This window comes from Homo sapiens, chromosome 7 (assembly GCF_000001405.40).
Source record: "Homo sapiens chromosome 7, GRCh38.p14 Primary Assembly".
In the NCBI taxonomy this organism is placed as follows: domain Eukaryota; kingdom Metazoa; phylum Chordata; class Mammalia; order Primates; family Hominidae; genus Homo; species Homo sapiens.
The window spans coordinates 93,129,375-93,148,753 of record NC_000007.14 but is presented as its reverse complement, the minus strand read 5'-3'; the positions used below and the strand labels follow the sequence as shown (position 1 = coordinate 93,148,753).

Here is a 19,379-nt window from a genome sequence, read left to right as displayed (position 1 = left end):
GGGAGTGAGGATTAGGACTTTAACATATGAATGTTTGGGGGACACAATTCAACCAGTAACAGGAACTTAGATTGCACTGACATATTAATTTTCTCCCTGGTATTTCCATTCTCTTTGTCCTGTAGGTAGTTTTTTGGGTCACTGGGTTTTTTTGTTTGTTTGTTTGTTGTTTCCTTATTCCTTAACTCTTATAACTTAAAAATCTGCCTGGTAAACAGTTTCTAAGCAGTGATTCAAATTTATTGATATTTTTGGTAATGTTATTGATTAAAAAACATTTCAGATCCTTCTAAACTCAAGAAAAAAGAATGTTCTAAAGCAAAACTGAAACTGTCTATACTTCAACTTCCTCCTGCTTCTCAACTGGCACTCTGACACACCCTCAGAAAGTCAGAGTACTGGGAGAACAGAAGACTTCACAATTTAATGCCTCAGTTTTTAAAAAAGGATCCTTACACTTCATGTCTCCTAGCCATCAGAAGAGGAATGAGACAGCAAAAGTTCAAATGGCCTGTTTCAAGTTTCTGATATAAAACGATGACATTTTCAGGAAAATCCTGGTAAGTAAACTGAATCATTAAACCTTTATTTGTTATGCTTTTGAGGCGACAGCTATTTTTTAAAACTTCAGCTGTACTTTTTATATAAATATATGTTTGTACATAAACGATTACTTATAAAAATACTAGAGTAATTAGAAAAATCAATGGATTAAATACATGTCAGTATATTTAACTGATAATAACTTTGTAAGTGCTCTTCTAAAAAGAAACATACCATTAAGTGTAATTAGGATAGTGGGAGGGTTTCTGATTGTGGCAGGCAGGCTTTGGAAAAGAGGATAGAGAAACGATGCAAACAGGGTCAGGAATTTAAGCACTGAAGATTCTAAAGGAACGTGTGATCTTGTGTAATTACACAAAATTCTGTCTTCATAACGTAAGATGTTATTAAAACTTTTACATTTTATCAAAGTTAATACTCTGCAGAGGCTAAATATTATTCTATTAAAGTATTTCATTCACATACATCTTATCCAGCAATCTGGTTGAAAACTAAGAAAAAAAATGCAAAGTGTTCTTCAGGAAAACGAAACTAACTTGCTTGTGTGGCTTCTGTCTGCCAGACTATGCAAGGAGGGTGTGGGTAGCTCTCCTGGGCTACAGCCAGATTCTGAAGTGTGTTTCCCCTACATCAGTTCTAAGAATCCTGCAGAGCAGAACACCTCCCTAGGGCATGGATATCAGCGGTGTTGCTGAGGGTCTCTCAAAGATGGGGTGGGCTTGTCCCTGAGAGTTTGCTGACTTGGAAATTCTTGCTGAGCATCAAAGAGAGAAAACTGAAGTGTTGAGGATGCCAACCTGCAACTCCTTTGTCAATAACCAACGTTGCTAAAGATAATATTTGTCTTCACAATTGTTTCAAAACAGGACACTGAGGGCCCCTAGAAAGCCAAGACTTAAGTCAAGGCAATCACAAAATTTGTCCACACTAATCATGGTCATTTTGATTGTTACTTAGTTCCAACAGCATACATCCAGATGCTCTTAAAATTGTACTGGCTAAAACGAAAGAAAAAATCTGGAGTCTGTTTTTTCCATCTTTAGCATTTCCAGAGAGAGACTGGCTGGTTAAATTTCTGAAAGAGGACACCAGCTAAAAGAAGGTATTGCATCTCACCCGAGCAGACTGTGTCTGTGGAAAGTGTAAGCCCCTTGCCAGAAGAGCAGCTTCCCAGCAAAGGCAGAGGGTGAAAACAGCAAAGGTCTTAAGACACTGGGGACCTAGAGTCAAAAGGGACCTCCTCCAGGGAAAACGCTGTGTGAGAAATGGCCTCATTCGGTGACTGTGAGTGACACAGCAGAAAGTTGGTAAGGTGTAGTCTGTAACTAGGGTATCTACAAAAACTGCAGGAGAAAATATATTCATTTGTTTTGCTTTCCTTTTGAAAAAAAAACTTCCTTTTCATTATTTGTGACCAGATGATAGAAGCTGGAGTTCATTCTGGCCTAACGGGTAGCACAGTAAAGAGATTTCCCCAGATTTCTACCTGGAGTTCCAGCCAAGCGAAATAATTTCCCTAGGAAAATGAGGAAGTCCTTTGACCCACAGACACTGGTAGCTCAAGGCCTTTCAAATATTCATTACTTTTAACTACTCTAAGAAAATGTGTTACTCATTTAACAGATTTTTGTTAAGAAGCTATTATGTGCTAGGCAATGCCAGATAATGAACAAAATGTAAAGAAATTTGTCCTTATGGAGTGCATAGAATAATGGGTTGGACAGAAAATAAATAGGTTAAAATATATAAAATATTTGCTGCTTGTAAGTCCTAAGTAGATAAAAAATGAAGCCAGAAGAGGGATAGGAAATGTTGGGAGGTGGGATAAAGTTTTCAGTAGGCTGGCCAAACAGTGCCTTGCTGAGAAGGTGACATTTGACAAAAGATCTCAACAAAGTGAAAGAGTGAGCCCTGCTGGTATCCAGGGACATTCCAGGAAGGGAAAACAAGTGTAGTGGCTGGAAACAGGGGCAGGTGCTTCCTTCAGGAAGCAACGAGGAGGTCAGGGGACTGGGCCAGATTTAGAGGGAAAAATAAAAGACCTAATATCAGAGGATTAGCAGGGTACCAGATTGTGTGAGGCCTTGTCAGATGGAAAGCCACAGACAGGGTTGGACACAACATTGATATGATGTTTACATTTTAACAGGGTCATTCCGGCTGCTTTTTTGAGAAGTCCCTGAAGAGATCAATAACAGCAAGAGGGAACCTGGCAAGGAAGCTATTCCTATAATCCAGGAAAGAGATGAGGAAGGCTTGGACCAGGTGGTAGTGGTGTCAGGTAGTCAAATGCTGGGTATATTTTGAAGATACACCCCATAGGATTTGCTCCACATTGAATGTGGAATGCTGGAAGAGAGATAAAGTGTACCTGTCACATACTTTTTGAGTTTTATTTATTTTCTTAGAAGTAAGTACACAAAGAGATGCTACCTAGGAGAAGGGTATTCTTTTCACTATTCTTTCAAATTTTCTGTATGTTCAAACATTTTCATAGTAGAAAGTTGGGGGGAAAATCTGTTTCATAAACATTTCCTCAGCAGCAGTCCAGTCTATTGCATTTTAATTGGTTGTGATATCATTGTTTTATGCAATACGTTCTCAACAAGTATATCCTCCGGCAAACTGAACAAGGACCAAGTCTGTTCTGCCTACAGCTCTGCTTCCTCATAGCTGCTTTCCAGAACGTGACTCTTGCAAATTATCAAGAAAGGGGAACTAATCTAAGGGATCCAGATCAAACAGCCTCATGAAGACTTATTTTATGTTTCTAATATAAAGATAGAAGTTTTCAGAAAAGCCCTGGTAAGTTTCTAATCATTAAAGTCTTGTTTAATCAACTCTCTTTAAAAGCTATCTTTAAAAACTAATTATAAAAAGTAAAACAGAACTTTGAAAATGAACATACTTGCAAGTGTGCATAAGCTATTTCTTATGAAACCATTTTAAAAGGAATGAGAAATATCACTATTTTTATATGAGAATCAATAGATGTAACTTGTGCTGATTGCAGAATTTTTAAACAAGAAACTTTCCAGCAAGCATGGTGACGGTGCAGCATATTTCTAGAGGTGGAAAGCTCTGGGGTGAGGCTAAAAAACCTGGGTAAAACATAGACCAGGAGATCAGGAATCCAAGCATACAAAACCATGTAGAAAATTGTAGCCATGTGCAGCTATGCCATACTCTGTCCTATAAGTTACATTTAATTAAAGAATAAAATCCTCCAAGGTTTAGCCATCATTTTATGTAAGACTTTTATGCACATCTAGCTTGTATAGAGACTATGGGAGGAAATACATAATTTGAACTTGCACTTCAAGAAAATAAAACTAACTTTTGCTTTGCGATTTCAGCTACACAGAGGATCAGAGCAGGGGTGGGCCTGCTGGGCTGCAGCTGGGATTCTGAGCATCCTTTCCCGGAGGCACGGAAAGTGAGTGAGTGAGCCCAGTGAGGTGAGTGAGCCCAGTGAGGCCCAGCCTCCTAGACATGATGGTGAGCACCAGAGCTTGCCAAGGGCAGGCCAGTTTGATCCTTCCTGCTTAGTCCCTAAAGAGAGAAAAATAATAGTCCTTAGGCAGTAGATCCTAAAATTTATTATCTGTAGGGGATCCATTCCAGGACCTGCGCAGATACCAAAACCTGTACATGCTCAAATCCCTAATGTGAAATGGCAAGGTATTTGCATATAACCTATACACATCCTCCCGTGTACTTTGAGTCATCTCTAGATTAGTTATAATGCCTAATACAATGTAATATTATATAGTTGTTATACCGTATTTATTGTTTAGGGAATAGTGACAATAAAAACAAGTCTTTACATTTTCAGTACAGATGCAATTTTTTTTTCAAATATTTTCAATCTGTGGTTGATTGAACCCACAGATGTGGTACCCACTGATAGGGAGGGCCCAGTGTACAAATAAAGAGAACTCTGTGTTTCAAAATTATCCCAGAACAGAATAGAGTTAAGGTGAAGGTCTTCTGCCCAGCTCCAACCAGAGCAGCTACACCTTTATCCATGTTAGATACAGTGGTTTCAGGTGCATTTATTTGAAGAAGCAGAACAAAAACAAGCAATAGCTAAGACAACACTAGTTCTGGTCCAATTTTCCTATATTATAAGTGGGAAAACAGGCTCACTGAGAGGAGACATAATTTAATCGTGACATCATTTTTCTGATCACAACTCCTCCACCTTTATACACACTGTGTAGCTTCTTGCTAAACATGAAAGCCCTCATGTTTAAAACTATGCCTGCAGTCTAGGGTGTAAGGTTTAAGTCACAGAAAGAGCCAAAGGGTTATGTCAAAGCATTATTAAAGACTTTTGCCCAAATCACTGTCACCTGAATTAAATAACAGTTCCAACTACCTATGGATTATAGATCATATAAGATGCTTATAATTGACAGAGGGCAAAATTCACATGAAAGTAATATTGAATACATAATAGCTTCAAGTTGTTAAATATATTCTCAGCTACCAATGGGAAATGGTGGAATTCTGGCTGAGAAATATTTTTATGTTATATGTTATCATACTAACACATGATGTAGTAACAGAAGAAAAGTGAAGAAGCAGGTCGGTAGGTAGATGTGGTTTCAGGAGTTTGGAGAAGCTCTCTTTGGATTCCTTCAATTCTGCTGGTTTAAACAGGAAGCAAGGTGACCGTGGTGAGGAGGTGTTGTAGGTTTGATGAGAGAGGAGAAACAATGAAATGATCATTTAGGAGAATAAAAGAGTGATTAAAGCAGAGAAATAGAGCATGGTAGCTGAGAGCATTAAGGTGGGACCAGTTATGGTATGGAGGGCCACTGTCCAGCCATGTTCCAGTCAGGGTGTGAAGGGCCATTGTCCAGTATACTCCAGTCAGGGTGTGGAGGGCCATTGTCCAGCCATGTTCCAGTCAGGGTGTGGAGTCTTTATCTTTGAACCATTGGGAAACCTCTAAGACAAGGTAAAGATAAAAAGACTCGAGGCTTGAGGAGCACAGATGCCAGTCACCCTATTTGAGAAGGGTGTTTCTATCTCCATGGTAGTTCCTGACAGAAGTCAATCAATAAAGAAGAAAGTGAGGGAAAGCTGTCATGCTGTCAGGTAACACAAAGACACAAAGACAATCCCTCTGCTATCCCCCACGCAACCACCCGGCAAACACAGTGTCTCTGGGCATGTAATGGTTGCTAAGCAGGAAATTCCTAAAACGCTGCTTCTTGTAGAGCGCTGGTGTCTATAAGAATTGCTGTAGCCACAGAAGGGAAAAATCTAGAGTTCTTCCTTATAGTATTTGGGGTGACCCAAAGAAAGGATGGGTAGCTTGAATTACTGAGAGAGGACACTGGCTAGGAGAAGATACTGCCTCACACCTAAACAGAGCCACTCTATGGTGACAGTAAGAGCATCTCCAGAGGAGGGTTTGTTGCCTAAAGCAGCAACAGCAGTTAAAACAGTGGAAGGTGACCCTGAAGCCCTGGGGTTCTGGCTTACTGAGGACCTAGGGTAGAAAGAGATCTCCTCCAGGGAAAACCCTATCTGAGAAAAATGCTCACTCAGGGACTGTGAGACACCAAAACCTGAGGAGAAGTGTTAGAAAACTGGAGCTTACAATAGGACATCAAGTCTCTGTAATTTGCCTGTTAGATGAAGAATAAAATGTTTACTGACTTTTCTTTCTGAAAAGTAAACTCTTTTCTTACTAATTATGACTGGCTAATCCAGATGCTGGAGTTGGTTTTGGTCTCATCGATGACAACATGAAGATATTTCCCAAATACAATTCAATTGTTTCACTAATCTAAAAATGTTAATTTCCTCATTCAACAAATATTTATTGAGTGCTTATTTTATGTCAGGCCCTGGTGATTCATGCATGAATGACAGGCAAAAATGTCTGTTCTCATGGAGGTTATATTCCAGTTGCTGACACAGAATGAGAAATATAATTAAGTGAAATGTATAGTACATAAATCTAAAGTGAAAACTTGAAGCAGGGAAGAGCAATGGAAAGTGCTGGAGGAAGGACTGAAATTTTAAGAAAGATGAGCAAGAAAGGCCTTATTGAATTTGAGTAAAGAGCTAAAAAGGTGAGGGTGTGAGCTGTGTTGGCATCTGGAGGAAGAGCATTCCAAGCAGAGGGAACAGGTAGTGCAAAGGCCTCGTGTAGCTGCATGGCTGCCATGTTTGAGGAACAGTAAGACAACTGGGCAGCTGGAGGGAAGTGAGCAGAAGTAATGAGGTCAAAAAGACAGTGGGGTGGACATATCATGTCAGACCTTATTTAAGGACTTTGGCTTTTACTCCATGCGAGATGAGAAGTCAGATAAAAGTTTTGAGCAGAGGACACTGACTAAGAGTCAGTGACATGATCACACTTACACTTTTGAACAGGACCAGGTTGGCTGTTGTGTTGAAAATAGAGTGAATGGCATGGTGGTGGGGCAAAGCCAGAGTCAAAGAGACCAGGTAACAAAAATAATCCAGGAAAGAGATGATGGCCTAGAACAGGGTGGTAGCAGTAGGGATAGTGGGAAAGGGTGGAATTATGGATATACTGTGAAGGTGTGATTGAAAGTATTTGCTAATACAATGAGTGAAAAAAAAAGCAGTAAAAAATGCTGCCAAGGTTTTTGCCTTGAACAATTGACAAGTTCCATTAACTGATAAGACTGTAGGAGGAGCAAGTTTGGAGTGGGAGGGGCATATATCAGGAGATCAATTTTGGCCATGTTCGTTTTAGGACTGTCATATACCTAGGTGAACATAGAGAAGGCAGATATATGGACATCATGGCAGAAGCCAGGGCCGATCATGTTAATTTGGAAGTCACAGGCATACAGATTGCGTTTAAATGCAAGATAGATGAGATTCATAGGGAGAAACTCTAGATAAAACTCTAGATAGAAAAGAGGCTAGGTCTGAGAGGCACGTCAACATTTAGAGGTGGAGAGTTAAGGAAGAACCAGCAGAGGAAACTGAGAAGGACTAGCCAGAAAAGGAGGAGGAAAAATCAGGAAAGGTAGTGTCCCAAAAGCCTGCAAGGAGAGTGATCCAAGGAAAAGAGAGCAATCACTTGTTTCAAGTGCTGCTGTTCTGTCAAGAACTGTCTGTAGCAATACCAAGTGCAATTTTAGTGGAGGAGTGAGGCCAAAGCCTGATTGGAGTGCCTTCTAAAGTGAGTGGAAGAAGAGAAACAGGAAACAGAAAGTGTAGACAGATCTACTGTGAAGAAAAGCACAAATGTGGGGAAGAGTTGTTTCCAAAGAGTCTTGCTTAACATGAAAAAAATAAACATGCTTGATTGCTGAAGGAGATCTAGTAGATGAGGAAAGACTGAAGAAGCCAAATAGAGTGGGGACACTTTCTGGAGCAACTTCCTGAATAGGTGAGAGGGATGCAAGGGCTACTGCAAGTGGAGAGGTTGACCTCACTAGGCATGTGGGCAGAACATGCAGAGAACAGAAACTAACATATGATGTAGTAACAGAAGAAAAGTGAAGACGCAGGTTGATGGGTAGATGTGGTTTCAGGAGTTTGGAGAAGCTCTCTTTGGATTCCTTCAATTCTGCCGGTTTAAATGGGAAACAAGGTGACCGTGGTGAGGAGGTGTTGTAAGTTTGATGAGAGAGGAGAGACAGTGAAATGATTGTTTAGGAGAATAAGAGAGTGACTACTGCAAGTGAAGAGGTTGACTAACGCAGAGAAATAAAGCATGGTAGCTGACAGCATTAAGGTGAGACCAGTCATGGTATGGAGGGCCATTGTCCAGCCATGTTCCAGTCAGGGTGTGGAGGGCCATTGTCCAGCAATTCTCCAGTCAGGGTATGGAGGGCCACTGTCCAGCATGCTCCAGTTAGGGTGTGGAGGGTCATTGTCCAGCCATGTTCCAGTCAGGGTGTGGAGGGCCATTGTCCAGCATGCTCCAGTCAGAGTATGAAGGGCCATTGTTCAGCATGCTCCAGTCAGTGTGGAGGCCCATTGTCCAACCATGTTCCAGTCAGGGTATGGAGGGCCATTGTCCAGCATGCTCCAGTCAGGGTGCAGAGGGCCATTGTCCAGCCATGTTCCAGTCAGGGTATGGAGGGCCATTCTCCAGCCATGCTCTGACAAGCTGTTGGGGACTGAGTGGGGACTGAGTGGGGACTGAGTGGTGGATGTAACTAGCATTGTAGTTTAACTATAAGAGTGTACCAGAGAGGAGAAAAATAAGTCATGATAATGAATAATCAAAGAAATATTAAGTCAGTAAAAGAGGAAAAGTGAAACATGAATGGAGTGAGGAAAAGTGAGACAGTAGTAGAATCAATAGATCAAAGGTGTTGGTGGTAAAGAAATACTTACTAGTGTTTGAGCACTAAAGGCAGTGGGTCTGAGGGGCAGGAGATGGTGGGGACAGGGAAGTGTTTGAAACAGAGAGGACGGAGGGCTTGTAGTTCTCAGTAACCGTATTTATTGGCTAGAGCTGCCATAACAAAGTAGCACAGAGTCACTTCAACAACAGAAATGTATTATCTCAGAACCCTTGCAACTAGAAGTCCAAGATCAAGCTATTGGCAGGGAGGGTTCCTTCTGAGGGCTGCAAGGGAGAATTTCTTCCATGCCTCTCACAGTAGCATGCTGGCAATCTTTGGTGATTCTTGGCTTGTAGAAACATCACACTAACCTCTGCCTTCGTCTTCACATACTGTTCTCCCGGTGTGTAAGCAAGCCTCTGTGCCCAAGTTTCCCCTTTTCACAAAAACCTCAGTCATATTGGATTAGGGTCCACTATAACTTCATGTCAACTAATTACATCTACAACAATCCTGTCTCCAAATAAAGTCACATTCTAAGGTGCTGGAGGTTAGGACTTCAGTGCCTGAACTTTGGCGCGATATAATTCAATCCATAATAGTAATGATAAGGTCAAGGATATGACCGTGGGAATAGAGGTGGGTTGATGTCAAGATAAAAGTCGATCGGGTGAGAGGCCATTGTATTGGAAGGATCAATGACATGTCTATTGAGCCACCAATAATTATGACAGAAATGGTATCTGAGGACACAAGTGTCCTCTTCCCTTCAGCTTCCTACATTTTAATACAAAATGTATTTAATACAAAATATATTAAAATGTCTAAAAACTGTATAAAATATATAAAAAGTAAGTATTCAGCAAATTTTCAAAGTATGAAATATCTTAAGACTAAGATTTAAAATACTATGGTAGTTATCTCATATGTAATGACTTCAAAAAAGTTTTCATTAAGGATATGTTTATTAATAACTGCTTATACTATTGGTTTTATATAATGCTTGTAAAAAGGTGAGGCAGGGCCCCTCTGTCGGTCTTACCTGAGATGACACTTAGGGCCTCGGCAGAGAGATGGGAATATCAGGGATGAGCCTACCGGGCTCCCAAGCTCCATCTGCCCTGGAGTACTCTATGGCAGGCCCAGTGCCCTGGCTCTGGGTGCAAGAGTAGGAGCTGCCCACTGCTGGAACAGCGCTATGTCATACCCCTTAGACCCACTAAAGGGGCCTTTGGCAGGTCCACCAAGTAGACTATTTCTTATTCCCTAACTCTGTCCCCCAGGCTTTCTCCCTCAATTGCCTCCCACATGACTCCAGCAGTTCCCTTAACTTCACCTGCCCAATGTTCCCACTCTCTTCTTCCTCATATATCCTAGGCCTAGACTCCTTCTTGTGTCTGACAAAAAGCACTACCACACTTTGTCAGTACAAACTTTTCTGAGTGTGTGTGTGTGTGTGTGACTTATTTCCTTTTTTTATCTTCTCCAATGGACAATAAATGTCATGAACGAGCTTCACATCTGTTTTGATTATCACTGTTTTTCCTGAGCATGATGCCTGGTACATAATTGGTGCTCATTAAATATGTGTAGAATGAATGAACAGATGACACTACTTAAGATAAATAACACTTATCGCTAGTTACAATATATGGGCTAATTTTTGTGGGACTCCTTAAGACCCACAAGTGACTTCTGTCTACACTACAGATGAACTGAATTGATCATCTAAAATACGTTTATAGCGTTCATTGTGCCAGTTGCTCATGGTTCTGCTAATTGGCCCAGGACTAGTTGTGATCTGCAGACTGAAGCCAGAGTAAGTAAGAGAATTCAAGGCACTAAGACAACCAGGAACAGTTTTACCAAGGCAAGTGGAAGCTGCTAGGCTCAGTGGTTGCATGCCTATAGATGGGGTAAATCATCCTGGTGCAAATATGGTATTCACACCATAAATGTGTAGTGCAAGTTTCCTCTGTGGCCAATCACAGGGCTGCAAGCTGAAGCCCCAGTTTAGCTTATTCTCCATACATAACTTCAAGGGGACTTTCTGGTGAACTTTTCCAAGAAGCTCCAAGCACAGATGGTTCAAATTTGCAGTTTGGCTAGACTTTGTGACTGGATGTACATTAAATTAAAAAAAAAAAAAAAAAAAAAACTTAGGTTCCTTAAACCTAAGGAACCTAAAAATTACAAATCATTTAAAACAGCAGTCCCCAATCTTTTTGGAACCAGGGACCAGCTTCATGGGAGACAATTTTTCCACAGGGTAGTGGGGGATGGTTTTGAGTTTATTCAAGGGCATTACATTTTGTGTGCACTTTATTTCTATTATTATTACATTGTAAAATATAATGAAATTATTATACAACTCACCATAATGTAGACTCAGTGGGAGCCCTGAGCTTGTTTTCCTGCAACTAGATGGTCCCATTTGGGGTGATGGGACAGAGTGACTGATCATCAGGCATTAGATTCTCATAAGGAGTGTGCAGCCTGGATCCCTTATATGCACAGTTCACAACAAGGTTTTCACTCCTATGAGAAACTAATGCCACCACTGATCTGATGGGATGTGGAGCTCAGGCAGTAATGCAAGATATGGTGAGAGGCTGTAAATACAGATGAAGCTTTGCCAGCTCACCCATCAGCCAGTCACCTCTTGCTGTGCAGCCCAGTTTCTAACAGGCTAGAGACTGGTACTGGTCCAGGTCCCCAGATTTGGAGACCCCTAGTTTAAAATGCTTGTATTTTATCTTTTTATAGTTTAGTGTTTTTGTTTCATTTGATCCTTAATGTTTTTTTTGTCTGTCCGTAAAATATTCTTTCTGATTTTCTGTTTACTTAAACCAATTAATTGATTTATCTTTTAAATTCTGATTCAGTAGGTCTAAGTGGGGGCCTGAGAATTTACATTTCTAGCCAGCTTCTAAGTGATGCTGATGCTGCTAGTTTGGAGACCACACCTTAAGAACCACTGCTGTTGGTCTTGTCTGCACAGTAGATGCACCAAGGCAAATGTTTAGAAGTACTAATGCCTGAAAACACCACCCTCACTCCCTCAACCAACTAATGCAGTCTCAGGTGTGGAATGCCAAGTAATTCTAATGTTTAACCAAGGTTAAGAACCCCTGTTCTAGGAGTCCAAAATAGGCAGCTCTTGCCATTCATCAAAGTACATAGTTGTAGGATCTTCATTAGCCTCATATCAATAATTTAGGTGAAAATGGCTCTAACAAAATTAAAAACTCATACTATTTTCCCTATCTAGTTTCAGGGAGCCCAGCTTGAATTATAGCTAGTCTCTTTTGGTACCTTCTGAGAACACAAGAATTAGCCAATCAAATCAATTATCCTGACATTTTGCTACCACATTCCCCCAAACCCTAGCCTTGTGGCCTAACAGCTTGAGTTCCAAAAGAAAACAGATTATTTAACCAACTGCTCTGTTACTATGTAACAAAGATAGCCAGCTGTGGATTCCTGTTCCTCAACCCACTTCTACCTATCCAGTTTCATTATTTTAAAGTTTATTTGCAATATTCCTATATGCTACGGAAACCAATTTCTATGTTACTTAAGATTCTGCTTTTAAGTCACAAAACCCCAACTTTCACCAAGTTAAGCTAAAAGGGAGAATTATTATAAGGCTAAAAGGTGTGTCACCAGTTAGCAGCTATAGCTTATTTCATAATTACAATTAGAGTCACCTAAGAAACAAGGGTATGAATTAGGATGGTAAAATAGCTAAAGTAAGTATCAAGCAGTTTTAAGAGTCAGCCTTTAGCAATATTATACATATATATATGTATCTTCTGTATGATAATGTATACATAATTGTCTATGTGATTTTAAAAATAAAGTATAATTCTAAAATACTTATTATATTGCTTTGTCTCAGGAAGAAGTTGAAGCTTTGATATGAGTAAACAAGTATCTCTACCTGAAATGATTAAAGACTGGACCAAAGAGCATGTGAAAAAATGGGTAAATGAAGACCTTAAGATTAATGAGCAATACGGGCAAATTCTGCTCAGTGAAGAAGTAACAGGATTAGTCCTGCAGGAATTAACTGAGAAGGACCTTGTAGAAATGGGGCTACCATGGGGTCCAGCACTTTTGATAAAACGTTCATACAACAAATTGAATAGTAAGTCCCCTGAAAGTGACAATCATGATCCGGGACAATTAGATAATTCAAAACCGTCCAAAACAGAACACCAGAAAAATCCAAAACACACCAAAAAGGAAGAAGAAAATTCAATGTCATCTAATATTGATTATGATCCCAGAGAGATCAGAGATATCAAACAAGAAGAATCAATTCTTATGAAAGAAAATGTGTTAGATGAAGTAGCAAATGCTAAACACAAGAAAAAGGGTAAGCTAAAACCTGAACAATTGACTTGTATGCCATATCCTTTTGATCAGTTCCATGACAGCCATCGCTACATAGAACATTATACTCTACAACCTGAAACAGGAGCACTCAATCTCATTGATCCAATACATGAGTTCAAAGCTCTCACAAACACAGAAACAGCCACGGAAGTGGACATTAAGATGAAATTCAGCAATGAAGTCTTCCGATTTGCATCAGCTTGTATGAATTCACGCACCAATGGCACCATCCATTTTGGAGTCAAGGACAAACCCCATGGAGAAATTGTTGGTGTGAAAATCACCAGTAAGGCTGCCTTCATTGACCACTTCAATGTAATGATCAAAAAGTATTTTGAAGAAAGTGAGATCAATGAAGCCAAGAAGTGTATTCGGGAGCCAAGGTTTGTGGAAGTCCTTCTGCAGAACAATACACCATCTGACAGATTTGTCATTGAAGTTGATACTATTCCAAAACACTCTATATGTAATGATAAGTATTTCTACATTCAGATGCAAATTTGTAAAGATAAAATATGGAAACAAAACCAAAATCTTTCACTGTTTGTAAGAGAAGGGGCTAGCTCTAGGGATATCCTGGCCAATTCCAAGCAACGGGATGTAGATTTCAAGGCATTTTTACAAAATTTAAAGTCACTGGTAGCATCTAGAAAAGAGGCTGAAGAAGAGTATGGAATGAAGGCAATGAAGAAGGAGAGTGAAGGACTAAAGCTGGTTAAACTTCTCATAGGAAACCGAGACTCACTGGATAATTCATACTATGACTGGTACATTCTTGTAACAAATAAATGCCATCCAAACCAAATAAAGCACTTAGATTTTTTAAAAGAAATTAAATGGTTTGCTGTGTTGGAGTTTGATCCTGAATCTATGATCAATGGAGTGGTCAAAGCTTACAAAGAAAGTCGGGTGGCAAACCTTCACTTTCCAAATCAATATGAAGACAAGACAACTAACATGTGGGAGAAGATTTCTACTCTTAATCTTTACCAACAGCCCAGCTGGATTTTCTGCAACGGCAGATCAGACCTGAAAAGCGAGACATATAAACCTCTAGAACCACATTTATGGCAGAGAGAAAGAGCTTCAGAAGTCAGGAAACTAATTTTATTTCTCACAGATGAAAATATAATGACAAGAGGAAAATTTTTGGTAGTGTTTCTATTACTCTCTTCAGTGGAAAGCCCAGGAGATCCACTCATTGAAACTTTCTGGGCTTTCTATCAAGCTCTCAAAGGAATGGAAAATATGTTGTGTATCTCTGTAAACTCACATATTTATCAACGATGGAAAGATCTACTACAAACAAGAATGAAGATGGAAGATGAACTAACAAACCACAGTATTTCCACTTTAAATATAGAACTGGTAAACAGCACTATCCTTAAACTAAAATCGGTGACTCGGTCATCAAGAAGGTTTTTGCCCGCCCGTGGATCTTCTTCAGTTATCCTAGAGAAAAAGAAAGAGGATGTCTTGACTGCACTGGAAATCCTCTGTGAAAATGAGTGTACAGAGACAGACATCGAGAAAGACAAATCTAAATTCCTGGAGTTTAAGAAATCAAAAGAAGAACACTTTTATCGAGGTGGCAAAGTATCCTGGTGGAACTTCTATTTTTCTTCTGAAAACTATTCTTCAGATTTTGTTAAAAGGGACAGTTATGAAAAGCTTAAAGATTTAATACACTGCTGGGCAGAGTCTCCTAAACCAATATTTGCAAAAATCATCAATCTTTATCATCATCCAGGCTGTGGAGGTACCACACTGGCTATGCATGTTCTCTGGGACTTAAAGAAAAACTTCAGATGTGCTGTGTTAAAAAACAAGACAACTGATTTTGCAGAAATTGCAGAGCAAGTGATCAATCTGGTCACCTATAGGGCAAAGAGCCATCAGGATTACATTCCTGTGCTTCTCCTTGTGGATGATTTTGAAGAACAAGAAAATGTCTACTTTCTACAAAATGCCATCCATTCCGTTTTAGCAGAAAAGGATTTGCGATATGAAAAAACATTGGTAATTATCTTAAACTGCATGAGATCCCGGAATCCAGATGAAAGTGCAAAATTGGCAGACAGTATTGCACTAAATTACCAACTTTCTTCCAAGGAACAAAGAGCTTTTGGTGCCAAACTGAAGGAAATTGAAAAGCAGCACAAGAACTGTGAAAACTTTTATTCCTTCATGATCATGAAAAGCAATTTTGATGAAACATATATAGAAAATGTAGTCAGGAATATCCTAAAAGGACAGGATGTTGACAGCAAGGAAGCACAACTCATTTCCTTCCTGGCTTTACTCAGCTCTTATGTTACTGACTCTACAATTTCAGTTTCACAGTGTGAAATATTTTTGGGAATCATATACACTAGTACACCCTGGGAACCTGAAAGCTTAGAAGACAAGATGGGAACTTATTCTACACTTCTAATAAAAACAGAAGTTGCAGAATATGGGAGATACACAGGTGTGCGTATCATTCACCCTCTGATTGCCCTGTACTGTCTAAAAGAACTGGAAAGAAGCTATCACTTGGATAAATGTCAAATTGCATTGAATATATTAGAAGAGAATTTATTCTATGATTCTGGAATAGGAAGAGACAAATTTCAACATGATGTTCAAACTCTTCTGCTTACAAGACAGCGCAAGGTGTATGGAGATGAAACAGACACTCTGTTTTCCCCATTAATGGAAGCTTTACAGAATAAAGACATTGAAAAGGTCTTGAGTGCAGGAAGTAGACGATTCCCACAAAATGCATTCATTTGTCAAGCCTTAGCAAGACATTTCTACATTAAAGAGAAGGACTTTAACACAGCTCTGGACTGGGCACGTCAGGCCAAAATGAAAGCACCTAAAAATTCCTATATTTCAGATACACTAGGTCAAGTCTACAAAAGTGAAATCAAATGGTGGTTGGATGGGAACAAAAACTGTAGGAGCATTACTGTTAATGACCTAACACATCTCCTAGAAGCTGCGGAAAAAGCCTCAAGAGCTTTCAAAGAATCCCAAAGGCAAACTGATAGTAAAAACTATGAAACCGAGAACTGGTCACCACAGAAGTCCCAGAGACGATATGACATGTATAACACAGCTTGTTTCTTGGGTGAAATAGAAGTTGGTCTTTACACTATCCAGATTCTTCAGCTCACTCCCTTTTTCCACAAAGAAAATGAATTATCCAAAAAACATATGGTGCAATTTTTATCAGGAAAGTGGACCATTCCTCCTGATCCCAGAAATGAATGTTATTTGGCTCTTAGCAAGTTCACATCCCACCTAAAAAATTTACAATCAGATCTGAAAAGGTGCTTTGACTTTTTTATTGATTATATGGTTCTTCTGAAAATGAGGTATACCCAAAAAGAAATTGCAGAAATCATGTTAAGCAAGAAAGTCAGTCGTTGTTTCAGGAAATACACAGAACTTTTCTGTCATTTGGATCCATGTCTATTACAAAGTAAAGAGAGTCAATTACTCCAGGAGGAGAATTGCAGGAAAAAGCTAGAAGCTCTGAGAGCAGATAGGTTTGCTGGACTCTTGGAATATCTTAATCCAAACTACAAAGATGCTACCACCATGGAAAGTATAGTGAATGAATATGCCTTCCTACTGCAGCAAAACTCAAAAAAGCCCATGACAAATGAGAAACAAAATTCCATTTTGGCCAACATTATTCTGAGTTGTCTAAAGCCCAACTCCAAGTTAATTCAACCACTTACCACGCTAAAAAAACAACTCCGAGAGGTCTTGCAATTTGTAGGACTAAGTCATCAATATCCAGGTCCTTATTTCTTGGCCTGCCTCCTGTTCTGGCCAGAAAATCAAGAGCTAGATCAAGATTCCAAACTAATAGAAAAGTATGTTTCATCCTTAAATAGATCCTTCAGGGGACAGTACAAGCGCATGTGCAGGTCCAAGCAGGCAAGCACACTTTTCTATCTGGGCAAAAGGAAGGGTCTAAACAGTATTGTTCACAAGGCCAAAATAGAGCAGTACTTTGATAAAGCACAAAATACAAATTCCCTCTGGCACAGTGGGGATGTGTGGAAAAAAAATGAAGTCAAAGACCTCCTGCGTCGTCTAACTGGTCAGGCTGAAGGCAAGCTAATCTCTGTAGAATATGGAACAGAGGAAAAAATAAAAATACCAGTAATATCTGTTTATTCAGGTCCACTCAGAAGTGGTAGGAACATAGAAAGAGTGTCTTTCTACCTAGGATTTTCCATTGAAGGCCCTCTGGCATATGATATAGAAGTAATTTAAGACAATACATCACCTGTAGTTCAAATACGTTTATTTATATCTTTATGATTTTATTCTCTCTCTCTATTCTCATGGCACTTTCATAACATTATGGCTAACCTCTAATTACAGATTTTGCTTTTGCCTCCCTGAATGAATTACAAGCCTTTTTAAGATATGAAATATGCCTACCCGCAGAGCTTGGCACAAAGTGGAGTCAATCTTTTAATGTTTTAAATATGCATTTTCAGACTCAAATAATTAAGAAGTTTCATTGATATCCACTGGTCACATCATAACTGTCTATAGGGCAATAAAATCTGTGTTAAACTCAATTGCTTTTATAAGTTTTCTAAATTATTTCTTCACTGTGACAGCAAAGATTTAAATAAGATGAATGTAAAAGAGAAAGCTTATTGGACTCAAACCCACAGATCCACACCAGAGTTCTATTTACCTCATCTTGGTATCAATAAAAACTTATGTGGAAGGTAAATATATTGTTCCCCATCCACCACATAACACTCTCCCCAACACACACACACACACACACACACACACACACACACACACACACTCCTTGTACCCCTTGCCCTTCTCCCAGCTCATTGCTCCAGGAGAGAGAAGAGTTCAAAAAATAAAGTAATCATAAACTTGAACTCTCTCCATTCTCTTGTTCCCATTTACAGGTGAATCTCTTCCTTTAAGCCATTTTTGTCTCCTGTGAATACAGCCTTATCTCCACCTGTTTCTTAGATCCCATCTCCCCTGGCTTATTTTTTCCATTCATTACCCTCTTTGTTCCCTTTACTTCTCAACCTGTGCTATATACATGCTGTTCTCTCTGTTGAGATTGCCTTATTTCCATCTAACATTCTCTCTCCTGCTATTCTGATTTGTCATTCACAACTGATTTCAAGAGTCACCTTCACCAGGAAGTCTTCCTTGACCACCATCATTCCTGCCTGATTAGAGGGCTTCCTCATGGTAATATGTGTTCTCAAGTTTTCAGTGTCAAGGAATGCCATCCCAGAAGCTCATTCTCAGATGCACAACAGCCAGAACAGTCTCAAGCAGCATTCTAGAGCTTGGAATTTAAGAACTACGCATTGCCTATAAAGTGAAACATAGGCTAATATAGATTAAATTGAATATTGAATAAAAAATATATTTATTTATCCACATCTTTGTATCTCTTTGTAATGTAACTTAGATATTCTGGACTCCAAACCCAATTCTTCTTGTCATCAAGAAGTCTATGCTCTATCAGGGTTCTTCTGGCCTATATTTCTATGAATCTGGGCAACGCTCACATGGTCCAGAACATGTCCCTCTTTCTGAAAGCTGTGTCTGCTGCTGACCCTGCTCCAAACAGTTGCCTCCCTCTTCTGCAGTCCACCAGTCCATACAGTAACAGGATCTCCCAAGTGGCTATACTCCCCAAGTTGTTCATAGGCCTGGGGACATAGGCCTGATCCTATTTCTTTTAAACTCCCCTGCTGGACTATAACATTTAGTAAGACATAACTAAAGGCTTGATGTAGAGAAAAAAGTTATAATGAAAGGAGGAAAAACTACTAAATATTCCTGCTAACCATAATTATCTTTAGAGTTAATAATTCTGACCCCACCACCAGGTATCTTAGAGAGCTTCCTTCTCCTTAGCCCCCATTTCAACAGCCATGCTATAGAGTGATCTTTTCTCATTCTTCTGAATGCAACAACACCTAAACGTGAATGCTTGACTTAGAGAGTAGGATGCAAACCCTTTGATGCCCCCAGAAATAATTACATTCTTCCTGAAAAGAAATATAGTGTAATATGCAAAATGTCACCCCACCCTTAATGAGGAGAAGGTCTTAC

At 39.5% G+C, this 19,379-nt stretch overlaps 1 protein-coding gene across 9 annotated transcripts, besides 1 other annotated feature; it reads left to right on the top strand.

Moving 5' to 3' along the window:
• SAMD9L (sterile alpha motif domain containing 9 like) lies at positions 369 to 18,698 on the top strand. Of its 9 annotated transcripts, none has more exons than NM_001350084.2 (6): positions 369 to 560; positions 1,608 to 1,666; positions 2,714 to 2,845; positions 3,222 to 3,369; positions 3,921 to 4,022; positions 12,763 to 18,698. In NM_001350084.2, the coding sequence occupies exon 6, from the start codon at positions 12,783 to 12,785 to the stop codon at positions 17,535 to 17,537; it is 4,755 nt and encodes a 1,584-aa protein (NP_001337013.1). In that variant the 5' UTR covers positions 369 to 560; positions 1,608 to 1,666; positions 2,714 to 2,845; positions 3,222 to 3,369; positions 3,921 to 4,022; positions 12,763 to 12,782; the 3' UTR covers positions 17,538 to 18,698. The 9 variants fall into 9 exon arrangements, with proteins under 9 accessions (NP_001337013.1, NP_001290426.1, NP_001337011.1 ...); NM_001303497.3 differs by having other exon boundaries at positions 1,608 to 1,871; NM_001350082.2 differs by having other exon boundaries at positions 1,608 to 1,871; positions 3,174 to 3,369.
• Positions 1,070 to 1,169: an enhancer, noted in NCBI's record as "active region_26279". NCBI's record gives its function as "activates an Ori minimal core promoter by ATAC-STARR-seq in GM12878 lymphoblastoid cells {active_cell/tissue: GM12878}" and the evidence as "EXISTENCE:reporter gene assay evidence [ECO:0000049][PMID:35858748]".

Coding starts and splice junctions, on each gene's coding strand:
- SAMD9L (NM_001303500.3), top strand. CDS start 12,783: ATGAGTAAACAAGTATCTCTACCTGAAATGATTAAAGACTGGACCAAA.